This window comes from Homo sapiens, chromosome 18 (assembly GCF_000001405.40).
Source record: "Homo sapiens chromosome 18, GRCh38.p14 Primary Assembly".
Taxonomy (NCBI): domain Eukaryota; kingdom Metazoa; phylum Chordata; class Mammalia; order Primates; family Hominidae; genus Homo; species Homo sapiens.
Genome location: NC_000018.10, coordinates 31942013 through 31959468, shown reverse-complemented (window position 1 = coordinate 31959468; position 17456 = coordinate 31942013). Strand labels below are relative to the sequence as shown.

General features: G+C 45.5%; 1 protein-coding gene across 9 annotated transcripts in view, besides 7 other annotated features; it reads left to right on the top strand.

Moving 5' to 3' along the window:
• Nucleotides 2278-2337: a silencer, noted in NCBI's record as "silent region_9387". NCBI's record gives its function as "represses an Ori minimal core promoter by ATAC-STARR-seq in GM12878 lymphoblastoid cells {active_cell/tissue: GM12878}" and the evidence as "EXISTENCE:reporter gene assay evidence [ECO:0000049][PMID:35858748]".
• Nucleotides 11842-12525: an enhancer, noted in NCBI's record as "OCT4-NANOG-H3K27ac hESC enhancer chr18:29526907-29527590 (GRCh37/hg19 assembly coordinates)". NCBI's record gives its function as "activates a minimal SCP1, AML or CMV promoter by ChIP-STARR-seq in naive H9 embryonic stem cells {active_cell/tissue: H9 hESC(naive)}" and the evidence as "EXISTENCE:reporter gene assay evidence [ECO:0000049][PMID:30033119]".
• Nucleotides 12526-13209: an enhancer, noted in NCBI's record as "OCT4-NANOG-H3K27ac hESC enhancer chr18:29526223-29526906 (GRCh37/hg19 assembly coordinates)". NCBI's record gives its function as "activates a minimal SCP1, AML or CMV promoter by ChIP-STARR-seq in naive H9 embryonic stem cells {active_cell/tissue: H9 hESC(naive)}" and the evidence as "EXISTENCE:reporter gene assay evidence [ECO:0000049][PMID:30033119]".
• Nucleotides 16341-17456, top strand: part of TRAPPC8 (trafficking protein particle complex subunit 8) — a 113932-nt gene continuing 112816 nt past the window's right edge. For all 9 annotated transcript variants that reach the window (XM_017025616.3, NM_014939.5, XM_005258234.4 and 6 more), the window contains exon 1: nt 16341-16861. In XM_017025616.3, coding sequence (XP_016881105.1) covers nt 16705-16861 — 157 coding nt within the window. In that variant the 5' untranslated portion in view covers nt 16341-16704. The remainder of the gene's footprint in view (nt 16862-17456) is intronic.
• Nucleotides 16357-16566: an enhancer, noted in NCBI's record as "active region_13208". NCBI's record gives its function as "activates an Ori minimal core promoter by ATAC-STARR-seq in GM12878 lymphoblastoid cells {active_cell/tissue: GM12878}" and the evidence as "EXISTENCE:reporter gene assay evidence [ECO:0000049][PMID:35858748]".
• Nucleotides 16617-16736: a silencer, noted in NCBI's record as "silent region_9386". NCBI's record gives its function as "represses an Ori minimal core promoter by ATAC-STARR-seq in GM12878 lymphoblastoid cells {active_cell/tissue: GM12878}" and the evidence as "EXISTENCE:reporter gene assay evidence [ECO:0000049][PMID:35858748]".
• Nucleotides 16617-17446: a biological region, named in NCBI's record as "NANOG-H3K27ac-H3K4me1 hESC enhancer GRCh37_chr18:29521986-29522764".
• Nucleotides 16668-17446: an enhancer, noted in NCBI's record as "NANOG-H3K27ac-H3K4me1 hESC enhancer chr18:29521986-29522764 (GRCh37/hg19 assembly coordinates)". NCBI's record gives its function as "activates a minimal SCP1, AML or CMV promoter by ChIP-STARR-seq in naive H9 embryonic stem cells {active_cell/tissue: H9 hESC(naive)}" and the evidence as "EXISTENCE:reporter gene assay evidence [ECO:0000049][PMID:30033119]".

The window sequence follows — 17456 nt, the reverse complement described above, 5'->3', positions numbered from 1 at the left end:
AGAGTATTGACATTATTAAAAATAAATAAAGAGGCCAGGCACAGAGGCTCACGCCTGTAATCCCAGCACTTTGGGTGGCCAAAGTGGGTCAATGGCTTGAGCCCAGGGGTTCAAGACCAGCCTGGGCAACATGGTGACACCCCATCTCTACAGAAAATACAAAAATTAACCGGGCGTGGCAGTGGGTACCTGTGGTCCTTGGTACTTAGCTACTTGGGGGGCTAAGGCAGTAGAATAGATTGAGCCTGGGAGGTAGAGGTTGTAGTGAGCTGAGATTGTGCCATTGCCCTCCAGCCTGAGTGACAAGAGTGAAACTCTGTCTCAAAACAAACAAAACAAAACAAAACCCTGTCTCAAAAAAGAAAAAAATATTTCCATGAAGAAACCCCAGTTTCAGTGCTGAAAATTTTTAAATATTCAGGAAATAAATAACATCAATCATATATAAACTCTTTCAAAAAAAGAGGAGAAAAGAACAACTCCTCATTTTTAGAGATGGGGTCTCCGTCTGTTGCCCAGACTGGTCTCAAACTCCTAAGCTCAAGTGATCCTCCTGTCTTGACCTCCCAAAGTGCTGGGATTACAAGAGTGAGCCACTGAGCTCAACCCCAATTTGTTTTTTGTTCTTTCTTTCTTTTTTGTTTTGTTTTTTTTAGATGGAGTTTTGCTCTTGTTGCCCAGGCTGGAGTGCAATGGCGCAATCTAGGCTCACCGCAACCTCTGCCTCCCGGGTTCAAGCGATTCTCCTGACTCAGCCTCCCAAGTAGCTGGGATTACAGGTGCCTGCCACCACGACCGGCTAATTTTTTTGTATTTTTAATAGAAATGGGGTTTCACCATGTTGGCCAGGCTGGTCTTGAACTCCTGACCTCAGGTGATCCACCTGCCTCGGCCTTCCAAAGTGCTGGGATTACAGGCATGAGCCACCGCACCCAGCTGTTTTTTCTTTTCTTGAAACAGAATCTCATTATCTTGCCCAAGGTAGGGTGCAGTAGTGTGAACACAGCTCACTGGAGCCTTGACCTCCTGGGCTCAAGCCATCATCCTGCCTCAACCTCCTGAGAAGCTGGGACCACAGACGTGCACCACCAGGCCTGGCTAATTTTTTAAATTTTTTTGTAGAGACTAGGTCTTGCCATGTTGCCCAGGCTGGTCTAAAACTCCTGGGCTCAAGCAGGAGTCTAAAACTCCTGGGCTCACCTCGGTCTTCCAAAGGGCTAGGATTACACACGTGAGCCACTGCACCTGGCTACTCAATTTGTTTTATGTGGCCATAATAACCACAAACTAGACAAATATATTACAAAATTAAATAAATAAAATAATATGCCAATATCCCTCATAAATTATATAATATGCTAATATCCCTCATACTCAAAAATTATTTACAAAATATTAGTAAATTTAATCCAACAACATATTAAAGGATTATATATATAAATATATATATACACATATATATACACACACACATATATATATGAAACCACCCCCACAGGATTGACAAGAATTGCATGTAGGGTTCTGGACTGATATGTAGTCATAACTAAGTATTAATCAGGCTGTACTTTGGCCCACTTCCTTGTTGCTAAAAGTCAGGTAGCACCAGGTACTGACCATTTGCATTCCCATTATTCCTATAGATAGGATTTCTGAAGTTAGGGTTGTAAGACTGTTTAAGAATTGATTTGCTTTAACATGAGGAAGGAAATTCAAAGAAAAAAAGAAATAAATAAAAGAATTGATTTGCATCCCCTTTGTTCCTATAGGCACGTTCTCTGACATTGGAATCATAAGACTTTTGTTTAAGAATCACTTGTAGGCTGGGCACAGTGGCTCATGCCTGTAATTCCAGCACTTTGAGAAGCTGAGGCAAGCGGATCACGAGGTCAGGAGATTGAGACCACCCTGACCAACATGGTGAAACCCCATCTCTACTAAATACGAACATTTAGCAAGGTGTGGTGGCACATGCCTGTGTAATCCCAGCTACTTGGGAGGCTGAGGCAGGAGAATCACTTGAACCCAGGAGGCAGAAGTTGTAGTGAACCGAGATTGTGCCACTATACTTCAGTCTGGGCAACAAGAGTGAAACTCCATCTCAAAAACAACAACAAGTCACTTGCTAGGCGCAGCGGCTCACGCCTGTTATCCCAGCACTTTGGGAGGCCGAGGCGGGTGGATCACCTGAGGTCAGGAGTTCGAGACCAGCCTGACCAACATGACGAAACCCCCCTCTCTACTAAAAATACAAAATTAGCCGGGCATGGTGGCAGGTGCCTGTAATCCCGACTAATTGGGAGGCTGAGGTTTCAGTGAGCCTAGATGGCGCCATTGCACTACAGCCTGGGCAACAAGAGCAAAACTCCATCTAAAAAAAGAATCACTTAACACCTTAAGCAATGGCTCACTCCCATAAGCCCAGCACTTTGGGAGGCCCAGGCGGGGCAGATCACCTGAGGTCAGGAGTTCAAGACCAGCCTAGCCAAAATGGTGAAATCCTGGTCTCTACTAAAAATACAAAAATTAGCCAGGCGTGGTGGCACATGCCTGTAATCACAGCTACTCGGCAGGCTGAGGCACCAGAATCCCTTGAATCCAGGAGGTGAAGGTTGCAGTGAGCCAAGATTGTGCCACTGAACTCCAGCCTGAGTGACAGAGTGAAACTCCGTCTACAAAATAAATAAATAACTTCAGATGTTTTTCACACCCTGACTTCCAGCAAGTAGTTTGAAGACCCCCACAGAGAAATGTGATCAGCATAAGAATACATCTTCATTTCTTTGTCCCTTGACTTCATCCTGCATTCTTTTTTCTATTGATTAGTTTTTATTTTTGTGGGTACATAAGTGTATACATTTATGGGGTACATGAAATGTTTTGATACTGACATGCAATGTGAAATAAGCACATCATGAAGAATGGGGTATCCATTCCCTCAAACAAACCAATTATACTATTTTATTTATTTATTTGGAGACAAAGTCTCGCTCTGTCACCTAGGCTGCAATGAAGTGGCACCATCTCGGCTCACTGCAACCTCAGCCCCCCGGGTTCAAGCGCATTCTCCTGCCTCAGGCTCCCAAGTAGCTGGGATTACAGGCACTTGCCACCACATCTGGCTAATTTTTTATATTTCTGGTAGAGACAGGGTTTCACCATGTTGGGCAGGCTGGTCTCGAACTCCTGACCTCAGGTGATCCACCCATGTAAGCCTCCCAAAGTGCTAGGATTATAGGCATGAGCCACCGTGCCCAGGCTACACTCTTTAGTTTAAAATGTACAGTTATTGGCCGGCGCGGTGGCTCATGCCTGTAATCCCAGCACTTGGGGAGGCAGAGGCTGGCGGATCACCCTAGGTCAGGAGTTCGAGACCAGCCTGCCCAACATGGAGAAACCCCCATCTGTAATAAAAATACAAAAAGCTGGGCTGGGCACAGTGGCTCACACCTGTAATCCCAGCACTTTGGGAGGCTGAGGTGGATGGATCACTTGAGGTCGGGAGTTCAAGACCAGCCTGACCAACATGGAGAAACTCCGCCTCTACTAAAAATACAAAATTAGCTGGGTGTGGTGGTGGATGCCTGTAATCCCAGCTACTCGGGAGGCTAAGACAGGAGAATCGCTTGAACCCGGGAGGTGGAGGTTGCAGTGAGCCAAAATTGCACTATTGAACTCCAGCCTGGACAACAAGAGCGAAACTCTGTCTCAAAAAAAAAAAAAAAAAAAAAAAATAGCGGGAATAATATCTGGTTGGTGTTGATCTAGGAAGAAGATAATTTTTTTTTTGAAGAAAAGAATGACAGACTCAGAGCTTCACATGTAAATGAATACAAGAAATCTAGTCCCAACTTTCTAAGCTTAAAGATAAAGAATGCTAGACTCAGGCCAGGAGCAGTGGCTCACACCTGTAATCCTAGCACTTTGGGTGGCTGAGGCAGGCAGATTGCCTGAGCTCAGGAGGTTGAGACCAGCCTGGCCAACATGGTGAAACCTGTCTCTACTAAAAATACAAAAATTAGCCGGCGGGGCATGTGGGGCATGTGCCTATAATCCCAGCTACTGGGGAGGCTGAGGCAGGAGAATCGCTTGAACCCAGGAGGTGAAGGTTGCAGTGAGCCGAGATCACGCCATTGTACTCCAGCCTGGGTGACAAGAGCAAAACTCCATCTCAAAAAAAAAAAAAGTATATTAAACTATATACTGGTGTAGCATACAGTTGATAGGATTCTTCCATTTGAGGAGAGAAATAAACAGTTTTTTCACTCACGTCCGTGTGAAGAGACCACCAAACAGGCTTTGTGTGAGCAATAAAGCTGTTTATTTCACCTGGGTGCAGGTGGGCTGAGTCCGAAAAGAGAGTCAGCAAAGGGTGGTGGATTATCATTGGTTCTTACAGGTTTTGGGATAGGCGGTGAAGTTAAGAGCAATGCTTTGCGGGCAGGGGTGGATCTCACAACGTACATTCTCAAGGGCGGGGAGAATTACAAAGAACCCTCTTAAGGGTGGGGGAGATTAGAAAGTACTTTCTTAAGGGTGGGGGAGATTAGAAAATACATTGATCAGTTAGGGTGGGGCAGAAACAAATCACAATGGTGGAATGTCATCAGTTAAGGCTATTTTTACTTCTTTTGTAGATCTTCAGTTACTTGAAGCCATCTGGATGCATTCGTGCAAGTCACAGGGGATGCGATGGCTTGGCTTGGGCTCAGAGGCCTGACAAGTTTCATCTTCAGTACTGGGAAAAGACGTCCTTAATTGCTTGTGCTTTTGTTATTAATTTGTCCAGCAAGCTTCCTCTCTTTTAGTGACAGACCCTGTCCTCTTGGCCTTGAAGGCTGGCACATGACCAAACCTGGGTAATCATAGGTTCTCACTTTTACTGGACGTGATAAATTGTCCAAAGGGCATGTGATGCAAGCAGGGCCCAATGCCAGATGATTCAGAGACACAGACAAGTAATGTGATATCCTAGACCCCAGGGAAATACCTCTTGCTGGGTACCTCATTCCTGATAAAGTGTGGTGGAGATCACTATTATCCCACATTCATTCTACTCCTCTTCCTTTAGCAACAGAATCCTTGCGCCTATGTTTTCCAGCCTATTTTTGAGATAGGTGTGTCCATGAGACTCAATGGGGCCAGTGGGATTGACTGAAGTTATTGAATGGCATTTCTATGATTTGACTTTTTAAATTTAAATTTTTTTTTTTTTTTTTTTTTTTTTTGGAGACGGAGTCTCACTCTGTCGCCCAGGCTGGAGTACAGTAGCACAATCTCGGCTCACTGCAACCTCCACCTCCCGGGTTCAAGCAATTCTCCTGCCTCAGCCTCCCAAGTAGCTGGGACTACCGGCACCCGCCACCAAGCCTGGCTAATTTTTTTGTATTTTTTAGTAGAGATGGGGTTTCACTGTGTTGCCCAGGCTGGTTTTGAACTCCTGAGCTCAGGCAATCTGCCTGCCTCGGCCTCCCAAAGTGCTAGGATTACAGGTGTCAGCTACCATGCCCAGCTATGATTTGACTTTAAACCATTAGACATGTACTTTTTCATTCTCTTTTCCCTATTCCTGCAGGCCAGAAAGCAGATGGGGCAGTGACTCAGCTTTAATCCTGTAGAAGCGGATAACATCTTAGACGATGGTAGACCAATAAGCTAGAAAGATTTGTTCCTTATTGATTTTTGTCTCCAACTCCTCTAGAAAATACTTTATGATCATTCCCAAGTCCTTATAGTTTTGCAAACAAGAAGTAGGTGCAGAATCAAGAGAATATTCTATCTCTGCCTTTTTCATCTCTCTTAGGAATGGCCTTAGAGGATATTGACTAAGGGATATCCTCCTAGCAAGCAGGACTGGAAGTAGATCAGTTTGACCACAAGATTCATTCCACTGACTGGAGAATGAATTTTTGCTGTCCTTGTCCAGTGGCCATTGTAAATTGTCTTTCCTTTAAAATATGGTATTAAAAGATTGTCCTGTATTCTTTCATTGTTGACTGGGGTTGTTTTAATTTTTTTTATTTTTAAGGTCTGGATTGAGATGAAATGGGGTTGTTTTTATTTAAAATTTAGTCATTTGAAATAGGACCATGAAGACCTGACCAAGAAGAGCACACACCCTCAAGAGATCCCTTGCTTTGGAACTGTGCGTGGTGACTTTTTTTTTTTTTTTTTTTTTGAGACAGTCTCGCTCTGTCGCCCATGCTGGAGTGCAATGGTGTGATCTGGGCTCACTGCAACCTCTGCCTTCCGGGTTCAAGTGATTCTCCTGCCTCAGCCTCCTAAGTAGCTGGGATTACAGGTGCACACCACCACGTCCAGCTAATTTTTGTATTTTTAGTAGAGACAGGGTTTCGCCATGTTGGTCAGGCTGGTCTCCAACTCCTGACCTCATGATCCACCTGCCTCGGCTTCCCAAAGTGCTGGGATTACAGGCATGAGCCACCGAGCCCGGCCTAATTTTTGTATTTTTAGTCAGATGGGGTTTCATCATGTTGGTCTGGTCTCGAATTCCTGACATTGTGATCTGCCCACCTTGGCCTCCCAAAATGCTGGGATTACAGGCGTGAGCCACCGAGCCCAGCCTAATTTTTGTATTTTTAGTAGAGATGTAGATGTATTTTTAGTAGGGATGGGGTTTCACCATGTTGGTCAGTCTGGTCTCAAATTCCTGACCTTGTGATCTGCCTGCCTCGGCCTCCCAAAGAGCTGGGATTACAGGCCTGAGCCACTGTGCCTGGCTGGATGTGATTTTTTGCTTGTTTTCCTTTGGATGCATGATAAGCCTATTTTCAGTTTTAAAGGGGATAATTACTAGTTAGCAGCATTCTTGGAATCATATATATGAGAAGAAGGGTATGTGTGAATGCTGAGAAGCCAATGGGTAGTTTGTGGTATATGATGGGTATTGTTTTTGTTTAGCCAGTGAACTTTCCCATTCCCATTTTACTCATCATAGTTTCTATCTCCCCGCCTACAGGAATGGAAATATGACCTATGCCTGGCTGGTAATATCGCCCATTTACCTGGAAATCGATTGGTTCAGGGTGTCAACAAAAAGAGTCAAACTGTGTAAGATATTTGAAGAGATTTATTATGAGTCAAATATGAGTGACCATGGACCATGACACAGCCCTCAGGAAGTCCTGAGAGCATGTGCCCAAAGTGGTCAGACACAGCTTGGTTTTATACATTTTAGACAAGCATGAGACATCAATCAAATACATTTAAGAAATACATTGGTTTGGTCCAGAAAGGCAGAACAACTCAAAGCAGGGGGCTTCCAGGCTATAGGTGAATTTAAACATTTTCTGGTTGACAATTGGTTGAATTTGTCTAAAGATCTGGGATAGCTAGAAAGGGAATGTTTAGGTTATGATAAAGATTGTGGAGACCAAAGTTCTTTTGAAGTCTTATAGTGGCTGCCCTTAGAGACAATAGGTGACAAATGTTTCCTATTTAGATTCTAGTTAATCTCTTTAAGATTGGGAGGGTCTGGAAGAGAAAGATCTAGCTATGTTAATAGAGATTCTTCCCCCCCTCCCCCAGACGGGGTCTCACTCTGTCGCCAGGCTGGAGTTCAGTGGCGGGATATTGGCTCACTGTAACCTCTGCCTCTTGGGTTCAAGTGATTCTCCTGCCTCAGCCTCCCGAGTAGCTGGGACTACAGGCATGCGCCACCATGCCCAGCTAATTTTTGTATTTTTAGTAGAGATGGGGTTTCACCATGTTGGCCAGGAGTTAATAGAGATTCTTTACAGATGCAAGTTTTCCCCCACAAAGAAGAGCTTCGCAGAGCCATTTCAAAGTATGGCAAAGAAAAATGTTTTGGGGTAAAACATTTTGATTTTCTTCTTTGTCTCGTAATGTTATGTCACAGTCAGGTTGGAAAGTAAATTATGATATATAGGGTTAAATAAAACCCATCTGATGATAATTTAGGATTTGTAGGGCATGACTCCCAGACTCCTTAGGAATTTAGACAAGATAAAAAAAAAATCAGAGGTTAGTCCTCAAGGGAAAGGCATGTGATACAAGCAGGGAAAATCAGAGGCATTCCCTGGGATTGGTATATTGATCCTTTCCAGGACCCCTGGAGGTTCACTGAAAATCACTGACATGAGGCAGGTTGAGTAACAGGAGAAAAGGCATACACGTTTATTATTTATATATTTATTTATTCATTTGAGACAAGGTCTCGCTCTGTTGCCCAGATTGGAGTGAAGTGGTGCGAATATGGCTCACTGCAACCTCAACCTCCTGGGCTCAAGCGATTCTCCCACCTCAGCCCCCCAAGTTGCTGGGACTATAGGTGTGCACAACCACACCCAGGTAATTTTTTTTTTTTTGGTAGAGACAGCATCTCACTATGTTGTCCAGGCTGGTCTTGAACTCTTGGGCTCATGTGAAGCCCTTGCCTCAGCCTCCCAAAACGCTGGGACTACAGCCATGAGTCACTGCCTGGCTAACATACAAATGTATTTAACATGCGTACGTGGGAGCCTTCAGAATGACCACTCAACCCCTCAGTTACAGAAACTTATATACCATCTCTTTTTTTTTTTTTAAATAGAGATGGGGTCTGGCTCTGTTGCTCAGGCTGGAGTACAGTAGCAGGCTCACACCTCACTGTAGCCTTGAACTCCTGAGCTGAAGTGTTTCTCTTGCCCAAGCCTCCTGAGTAGCTAGGACAACAGGCAAGAATCACCACACCAGCTAATTATATACCATCGTGAGGCTACAGAAAGAATGGGAGCATTAGATCCTTGCAAAACAGGTTATGGGAGTGAGGACAAGAATTCTGTTGAGGGGCAATAAATGATTACTGGGGAGAAGGACTGGATCAGGAAACAGAAATTAATGTGTAAAGAGTTCTTTTTGAAATGCAAATGATCCTTGGAGACAGTCATTATACTTGTGAAAGAGTCTGTTCAGCTGTGGGTACATCTTGGTCTTATTTTCTACAATAGATGAGATTACAGGGAGGGGGAGAAAAAAATTATAGTTTTCCTTGGTAGGTCTGGATCTTAGGTAAATAAAGAACTTCAACTTCAATGGGGGAGGGTGGGTCAAACAGATCTTGCAGCTTCTTCAGTTCAGCAGGTCAAAACACCTTATTTTGAGATACTGGTTTCTAAGGACTAAACTCAGATTTTTTTTATTTTGCCCAAATTCCTATCTGAGTGGTCTGGGGAGTCATGCTCTACAAATCATAAATTCTCAACAGATAGGTTTTATTTAACCTTATATATTGCAACTTACTTTCCAGCTTTACTCTGGCATAACATTACAAGACAAAGAAGAAAATCAAAATGTTTTACCCCAAAACATGTTTCTTTGCCATACTTTGAAATGGCCCTGCAAAGCTGTTAGTTGTGGGGGAAAATTTGCATCTATAAAGAATCTCTGGCCTGGCCCGGTGGCTAATGCCTGTAATCCCAGCACTTTGGGAGGCCGAGGAGGGCAGATCACAGGGTCAGGAAATCGAGACCATCCTGGCCAACATGGTGAAACCTCGTCTCTACTAAAAATTAAAAAAATGGCTGAGTGTGGTGGCTCACGCCTGTAATCCTAGCACTTTGGGAGGCCGAGGCAGGCAGATTGCCCGAGCTCAGGAGTTCGAGACCAGCCTGGGCAACACGGTGAAACCCTGTCTCTACTAAAATATAAAAGAAATTAACCGGGCATTGTGGCATGCGCCTGTAGTCCCAGCTACTCGGGAGGCTGAGGTAGGAGAATTGCTTGAACCTGGGAGGCGGAGGTTGCAATGAGCAAAGATTTCGCCACTGCACTCCAGCCTGGGCGACAGAGTGAAACTCCGTCTTAAAAATAAATAAATAAAAATAAAAAAAATTAGCCGGGCATGGTGGCACATGCCCGTAGTCCCAGCTACTTGGGAGGCTAAGGCAGGAGAATCACTTGAACCCAGGAGGCAGAGGTTGCAGTGAATCAAGATCGCACCACTGCACTCCAGCCTGGGTGACAGAGTGAGATTCTGTCCAAAAAAAAGAAAAAAATCTCTATTAACATAGCTAGTTCTTTCTCTTCCAGACTGTCCCAATCCTAAAGAGATTAATTAAGATCTGAATAGGAAATATTTGTTATTTACTGTCTCTAAGGGCAGCCACTATAAGACTTAAAAAGAACTTTGACCTCCACAATCTTTATCTTTTTTTTCTTTTTCTTTTTTTTTGAGACGGGGTCTCACTCTGTCGCCCAGGCTGGAGTGCAGTGGCACGATCTCGGCTCACTGCAACCTCCGCCTCCTGGATTCAAGCGAATATCCTGCTTCAGCTTCCTGAGTAGCTGGGATTACAGGCATACACCACCATGCCCGGCTGGCTGATTTTTGTATTTTTAGTAGAGATGGCGTTTCAACATGCTGGCCAGGCTGGTCTCGAACTCCTGACCTGGTGATCCGCCCACCTAAGCCTCCCAAAGTGCTGGGATTACAGGCGTGCGCCACCGCGTCCAGCCACAATTTTTATCTTAAACTGAACATTCCCTTTCTGTTTTTTGTGTTTTGAGATGGAGTCTTGCTCTGTCGCCCAGGGTGGAGTGCAGTGGTGCGATCTAAGCGGATGAATCCCAGTTAGACAAACTCAACCAATTATCAACCAGAAGGTGTTTGGTAACCCAATCCCCCTGCCCCACTTTGAGTTGTCCCATCTTTCCGGATCAAACTGTAGCAGGACAAGCCGCGGACAAAACCTCTCAGACACCTAGTTAAAGAAGGAAGGGCTTTTTTCGGCCGGGAGCTTCAGCAAGACTCACATCTCCAAAAACTGAGCTCCCAGAGTAAGCAATTCCTGTCCCTTTTAAGGGTTTACAACTCTAAGGGGGTCCGCGTGAGAGGGTTGTGATCAACTGAGCAAGCAGGGGGTACCTGACTGGGGGCTGAATGCACTGGTAATCAGAACGGAACAGAACAGGACAGGGATTTTCAAAATGCTTTTCCATACAATGTCTGGAATCTATAGATAACATAACCAGTTAGGTCAGGGGTCGACCTTTAACCAGGTCCGGCACCAGGCTGTGCGCCGGTGGATTTCATTTCTGCCTTTTAGTTTTTACTTCTTTCTTTGGAGGCAGAAATTGAGCATAAGACAATATGAGGGGTGGTCTCCTCCCTTAAAACCAGTGTATTTCTTAAATGTATTTGATTAATGTCTCAAGCCTCCTTAAAATGTATAAAACCAAGCTGTGCCCGACCACCTTGGGCACATGTTCTCAGGACCTCATTGTCACTCATATTTGGCTCAGAATAAATATCTTCAAATATTTTACAGAATTCGACTCTTTTTGTCGACATTCTGAGCCTCAACAATATGATCTGGGGATGTGGGCAAACCCTATCATGTAGACAGAGGCTTCCTGAAAAACGAAGCCTAACAGAATTAGAAATTAGAGATAGAGGGACTTGCTGGTAACAAATCCTGGCCTTTGGTCCTTGAAGCCATTATTTTTGCAGCTCTTCCTTCTTTCCTGTGACCTTTATCCCATCTCTACCTGTAGTTACATGAGCCATTAAATTCTCTAGTTTGCTGACGTTAGTATAAATTTAATTTGCCTTTTTTGTTTTTGAGATGGAGTCTTGCTGTATTGCCCAGGCGGGAGTGATCTTGGCTCACTGCAACCTCCACCTCCCAGGTTCAAGCGATTCTCAGCCTCCCAAGTAGCTTAGACTACAGGTACATGCCACTATGCCTGGCCAATTTTTGTATTTTTGGTAGGGACGGGTTTCACCATGTTGGCCAGGCTGGTCTCGAACTCCTGACCTCAGATGATTTGCCTGCCTCGGCCTCCAAAAGTGCTGGGATTACAGGCATGAGCCACTGTGTGCCTGGCCTAATTTGCTTTGTTTTGACATTGAAAGAATCCTGACTAAAAGGTCTGCTACTATGGTCACAGTAAATATTGTCGACAAAAAGTATCAAACTCTTTAAAACATTTAAAGAGGATTATTCTTTTTTTTTTTTTTTTTAGACAAACTCTCACTCTGTTGCCCAAACTGGAGTGCAATGGCGTGATCTTGGCTCACTGCAACCCCCACCTCCCGGGTTCAAGTGATTCTCCCACCTCAGCCTCCTGAGTAGGGGACTACAGGCACGCGCCACCATGCCTGGCTAAAATTTTGGTATTTTTAGTACAGACCGGGTTTCACTATGTTGGCTAGGCTGGTCTTGAACTCCTGACCTTGTGATCCGCCCACCTTGGCCTCCCAAAGTGCTGGGATTACAGGTGTGAGCCACCGTGCCCGGCCCTGAAGAGGTTTATTCTAAACAAAATATGAGTGACCAAGGCCTGAGGCATAGTCCCAAGAGGTACTGAGAATATGTGCCCAAGACTGTTGGGTTACAGCTTGGTTTTAATACAATTTAGGGAGACATAACACACCAATCAATACATTTGGGGTATACATTGGTTTGGTTGGGGAAGGTGGGACAACTTGAAGAGGGTTTGGGGGAGGGCTTATAGGTCATAGGTGGATTAAAAGATTTCCTGATTGGCAATTGGTTGAAAGAGTGAAGTTACTATTTAAAGACCTGGAATAAACAGAAAGGAATGCCTGGATTAAGATAAGGGGTGGTGGACACTAAGGTTCTTATTATGTAGATGAAGTCTCCTAGGTGGCCATCCTTAGAGACAATAGATGGCAAATGTTTCCTATTCTGACCTGTAAAAGGGGCTAGACTCTCAGCTAATCTCTTCAGAATTGGGAGGGCCTGGAAGGGGGAAACATCTAATTATGTTGATAGAGATTCTTTTTTTTTTTTTTTTTTTTTTTTTTTAGATGGAGTTTTTTGCTCTTCTTGCCCAGGCTGGAGTGCAATGGTGCGATCTTGGCTCACTGCAATCTCTGCCTCCTGGGTTCAGGTGATTCTCCCGCCTCACCCTCCAGAGTAGCTGGGATTACAGGAGCCCACCACTACGGCCGGCTAAATTTTTAGTAGAGACGGGGCTTCACCATGTTGGCCGGGCTGACCTCAGGTGATCCACATGCCTCGGCCTCCCAAAGTGCTGGGATTGCAGGTGTGAGCCACTGCACCCAGCCAACAGAGATTCTTAACAGATGCAATTACCTCTCTCCCCACAAAATAGCTTTGCAGGGGCATTTCAAAATACGGCAAAGAAATATATTTTGAGGTAAAATACTTTGATTTCCTTTATCTGTCATGTGATGTTATGCCAGAGTCAAGTTGGAAAGTAAGCCATATTATATAAGTTTACATAAAACCCATCTGATAACTTTTCTTTTTTTTGAGACGGAGTCTCGTTCTGTTGCCCAGGCTGGAGTGCAGTGGCACGATATTGGCTCACTGCAACCTCCACCTCCTGGGTTCATGTGATTCTCCTGCCTCAGCCTCCTGAGGAGCTGGGATTACAGGCACACACCACCACGCCCAGCTAATTTTTTGTGTATTTTTGGTAGACGGGGTTTCACTATGTTGGCCAGACTGGTCTCGAACTCCTGACCTCGTGATCCACCCACCTCAGCCTCCCAAAGTGCTGGGATTACAGGCGTGAGCCACCGCGCCCGGCCCATTTGATAACATTTTATGTTTTGTAGGGTGTGACTCCACAGGCCCCTTAGATAGGAATTCGGGGAGGAGGGGAAAAATGTCAGAGTTAAGTCCTCAGTATCATCTCCTTTAAGGTGTTTCCACAGTTCAAACAGTACCTTGTCAAAAGAAAGAAGAGACCAGGATAGACTACGAAAGAATTAGATTTACACAGTGAAGTTACTCACTGGAAACACTGTGTATGGGTGTGGTATTAGATTGTGAAGTCAGGCTGGGTGTGGTGGCTCACACCTGCAATCCCAGCATTTTGGGAGGCTGAGGCAGAAGGATCACCAGAGCCCAGAGTTTGAGGCCAGCCTGGGCAATACAGTGAGCCCTCATCTCTATATATTAAAAAAAAAACAACAACTGCAAAGTCAATGCATAAGACAAAAATCCATTTAGGCTCAGCCATAAAAAGGAATGAAGTAATGATTCATGTTACAACATGGATGAACCTTTAAAATATATTGATGAGTGAAGTAATATGTGTACAAAGGCCACATATTGTATAATTTCACTTATATGAAATGTCCAGAATAGGTAAATCTACACAGACAGAAAGTAGATTAGTGATTGCCAGGAGTTGGAGGGCATGGCAGGGTGCAGAATGATAAAAGCCTGTACAAGCCTTCTTTTTGGGATGAACATGTTCTGGAATTAGATAGTAGTAATGGTTGCACAACTTTTGGAATAAACTGAAAACCAATGAATTGTACACTCATCTGAAGGGGTAAATATTATGGCATGTGAATTATATCTCAGAAAAATCTATTTTGGCTAAATTACCATTGAAAGTCCTTTTCAAAGAGTCTAATTCAGCTGTTTTTACTTTCAGCATAAAAATAAATGGCCTTTGAAACTTTTTAGAGTACTAGATAAATAGTATGTTTGCATTTGGGAGTCCTGTTATAAAAAATGTATCTTATAACTTGAGTCACACTAAATTATGTGAGATTCTCACATTATAAAGGGTAAGGAAGTGAATCAGAAGCATTGAAAAGGGATTGTGTGTAACATGTTATCTCTTGCAAAAGGAAATTAAATTTTGGGACCCCAAACTGATTTAGCCAAAGGGAAAAGTCACGCTGGGACTGGTCACGCAAATCTGCCTCCCCCTTTTGGTTCCTAAATAAGATTGCTGCAAGATGAAAAGCTACATCTCTCCCCCGTATTTTGCCCACAAGGAAATTCTTAGTGTGCTGTTAAAACTTCATGGCAATGCAAATTGATAGCTTATCTTTACAGGTGGCCACCCCAGCCCGCCAGACACAAATGCCTATCTGATTGTTCCCCTACCCCATTTTGTCTGTTATCTTATGAAAAATGCAGACTCCCACATTCTTCCTCTGCCCATTTTATGTCATCTTATGTAAAAAATGCAGATTCACTGAGCCAGAGAAAGGCAAGAATTACTATTTTCTCCTACCGCCCCCTTACATGAAAACGGTGTGCTTCTCAATATCCCGCCCTTTCCCCTTTAAATTTGGAGCACTCAAAATCATCTTCGAAGAAAGGCATAGACCTGTTTCCTGGGCTCGTACTTAACTTCGGCAAATAAATCTCCTAAAGTGATGGACTCTCTTATAAATTAATCTGTAGCCAAGGCATGTCATCAATATGTCCTACTGTGCCTTCCTACCTCCCATTTATCAACTTACATGAGAAGCACACATCTTACTTGTCATAAATTATTACCTTAGTGAAAACCTGAGGGTGTCAAGAAGTCGAAAAATTTGAGACATTGACGTTGGGGAAGACACCTTTAATTAGAGCACCATAAAATCATGATAGAATGATACATTTTTCCTTGCCTTATATTTTTGGCATGCAAAACAGAAGGAGCTCAAACAATTGAGTGACACATTAGTAAAATTCCTTTCATTCATTTCTACTTACAAGGCACACACCATTGACCTCACCCCGTCCCCCCCTTTAAAACAATATTTGACCCGCGCCCCCCCCCCTTTAAAGCAATCTTTGAAAAGTTAGGAATGAAAGCCGGTTCAGGACAGTACACAGTACACAAATACTGGCTTCCCCTACCTCCACCACAAGCAAGTAAACATCCTAGCACAGTGTAAAAAGGAAGAGGCTGAGGACGAACCACGCGGACATTTGCAGGCACACCCCTTCCCTGCGACCAACAAAAATGCAGTAGCGCAATTACACTTGAAGGAATTGCAGCACTCACAAAAGCACACATTCTGTTCAATGGTTGAGTCCACATAAAGTGACAGTCCGTTTCTAAAAGCATGGCTGTATTTAAAGGACACATGGTCTGTTCAGGTCCGCTTCAGCGAAACCCCAAGCACTTCCGAGAGATCCACTCCCTCTCTCCGAGCAGGTGCCACTAGCTGCTCCGCCGGCGAGCGTAGGAAGCAGCGCGACCAACCAAATCGGTTGCCCACAACAGCCAGGGACGTCAAAAAGGCCAAACTGCGTGGGAAGCGAGCGTGCGCCTCCATCACCACGACAGCACCCGTCTCGAGGCTCCACCTGCCGCTAGTAGGTGGCTCTCAGCTCTGCTCTGCTAAGGGCGAGCTTGAGAACCCGGCCTACAGTTGTGCACCTCCCCCCGCCCCCGCCCCCGCCCCCGCCCCCGCCCACCGCACTTGTAGCCCCGCCCCGCCCAGGGAGCTTCCGTCACAACACTTCCGGCTCCAGCCTCCCAACCGGCCTCCGTCGTTTTTCACTTCCCTCTCCTCAGCTCTCTTCCCTTGCCCCTACCGTCTCCTTTAACACAGTCACGTGAGGGACGCGCGCGGGGGCAGCTGGGAGTAGTACTGCCGGTTGGTCAGGGTTCGGCCTCAACATGGCGGTTCCGGCCGGGCAGTGACCAAGGTTTTGCCGTCCGAAGGACTAAGTGGTGACTGTCGGCGTCTCCACCTATCGGGGTGGAATGCGAGCACGCGGGGACGAGCGCTGAGAAGCGGCGGTGACGGGAAGGGGGGGGTCAGTGGATTGTGCCCCAGAAACCGAAGCGGCGGCGTCTGTTCCTTCTTGTTTCTAGGCTCCAGTGCGTTCGGGGCCCCGCCCGGCCGGGCCAGGCCGGCGGGCGGCGGCGGTAGCTGCTGCAGCCGCAGGATAACCTCGCAGGGTGGGCCGGAGGGCGGGCGCCGCCGCTGCCTGTGCTGCGGCGATGGCCCAGTGTGTACAATCAGTGCAGGAGCTAATCCCGGACTCCTTCGTCCCCTGTGTCGCTGCGCTGTGCAGCGACGAAGCCGAGCGGCTCACTCGTCTCAATCACCTCAGCTTCGCGGAGCTGCTTAAGCCCTTCTCCCGCCTCACTTCCGAGGGTATGTGGTATCCTCCCTTTTCCAGTGGGCTCCCGCAAAGCCGTGGTCGGGAGAAGGAAGTTGCGGGCGGGCAGGGAAGAGAAGGGCAGTGTTTACGTCCTGGAGCCGGTACCGTGGCGTCTGGGGCTGTGGCCCCGCGGTGCTCCGGGGGCGGCTGGAGGAGGGACCGTGAGGTTGTCAAGACAGCGCAGTCCTAAGCTCCAGTTTCTCTGGGCACTTCCTTTCTTCCTCGGACAACCTAGGTCGTTAAGTAATTGGTGCAAAGATAAACGTGAGTCTTCGAGAACGGCATTGAGACTGTTCTCCACGGCCATAGCGAAGGAATTAGGCACTTGCAAAGCAGCTAAGGTAGGAAAATGCTGCCTCTTAGACCGACAGGGTCTGAGTAAGGAAGACCTGTCATCCTCCCTTGGATGTTAAACTGGACTTTGAAAGTAGTTGTGGATGTTATTACATTCTTGTAGCGTTGAGGGTCATCTCTGTCTGAACTACCGTGTAGCTGTTTTACTAATATATTCTTAGCTATACGGTATTTTGCTTAACCTCTCAAGAAAATTAAAAGTATTATAAGAAGAATAAAACTTGAAGCAGCTTT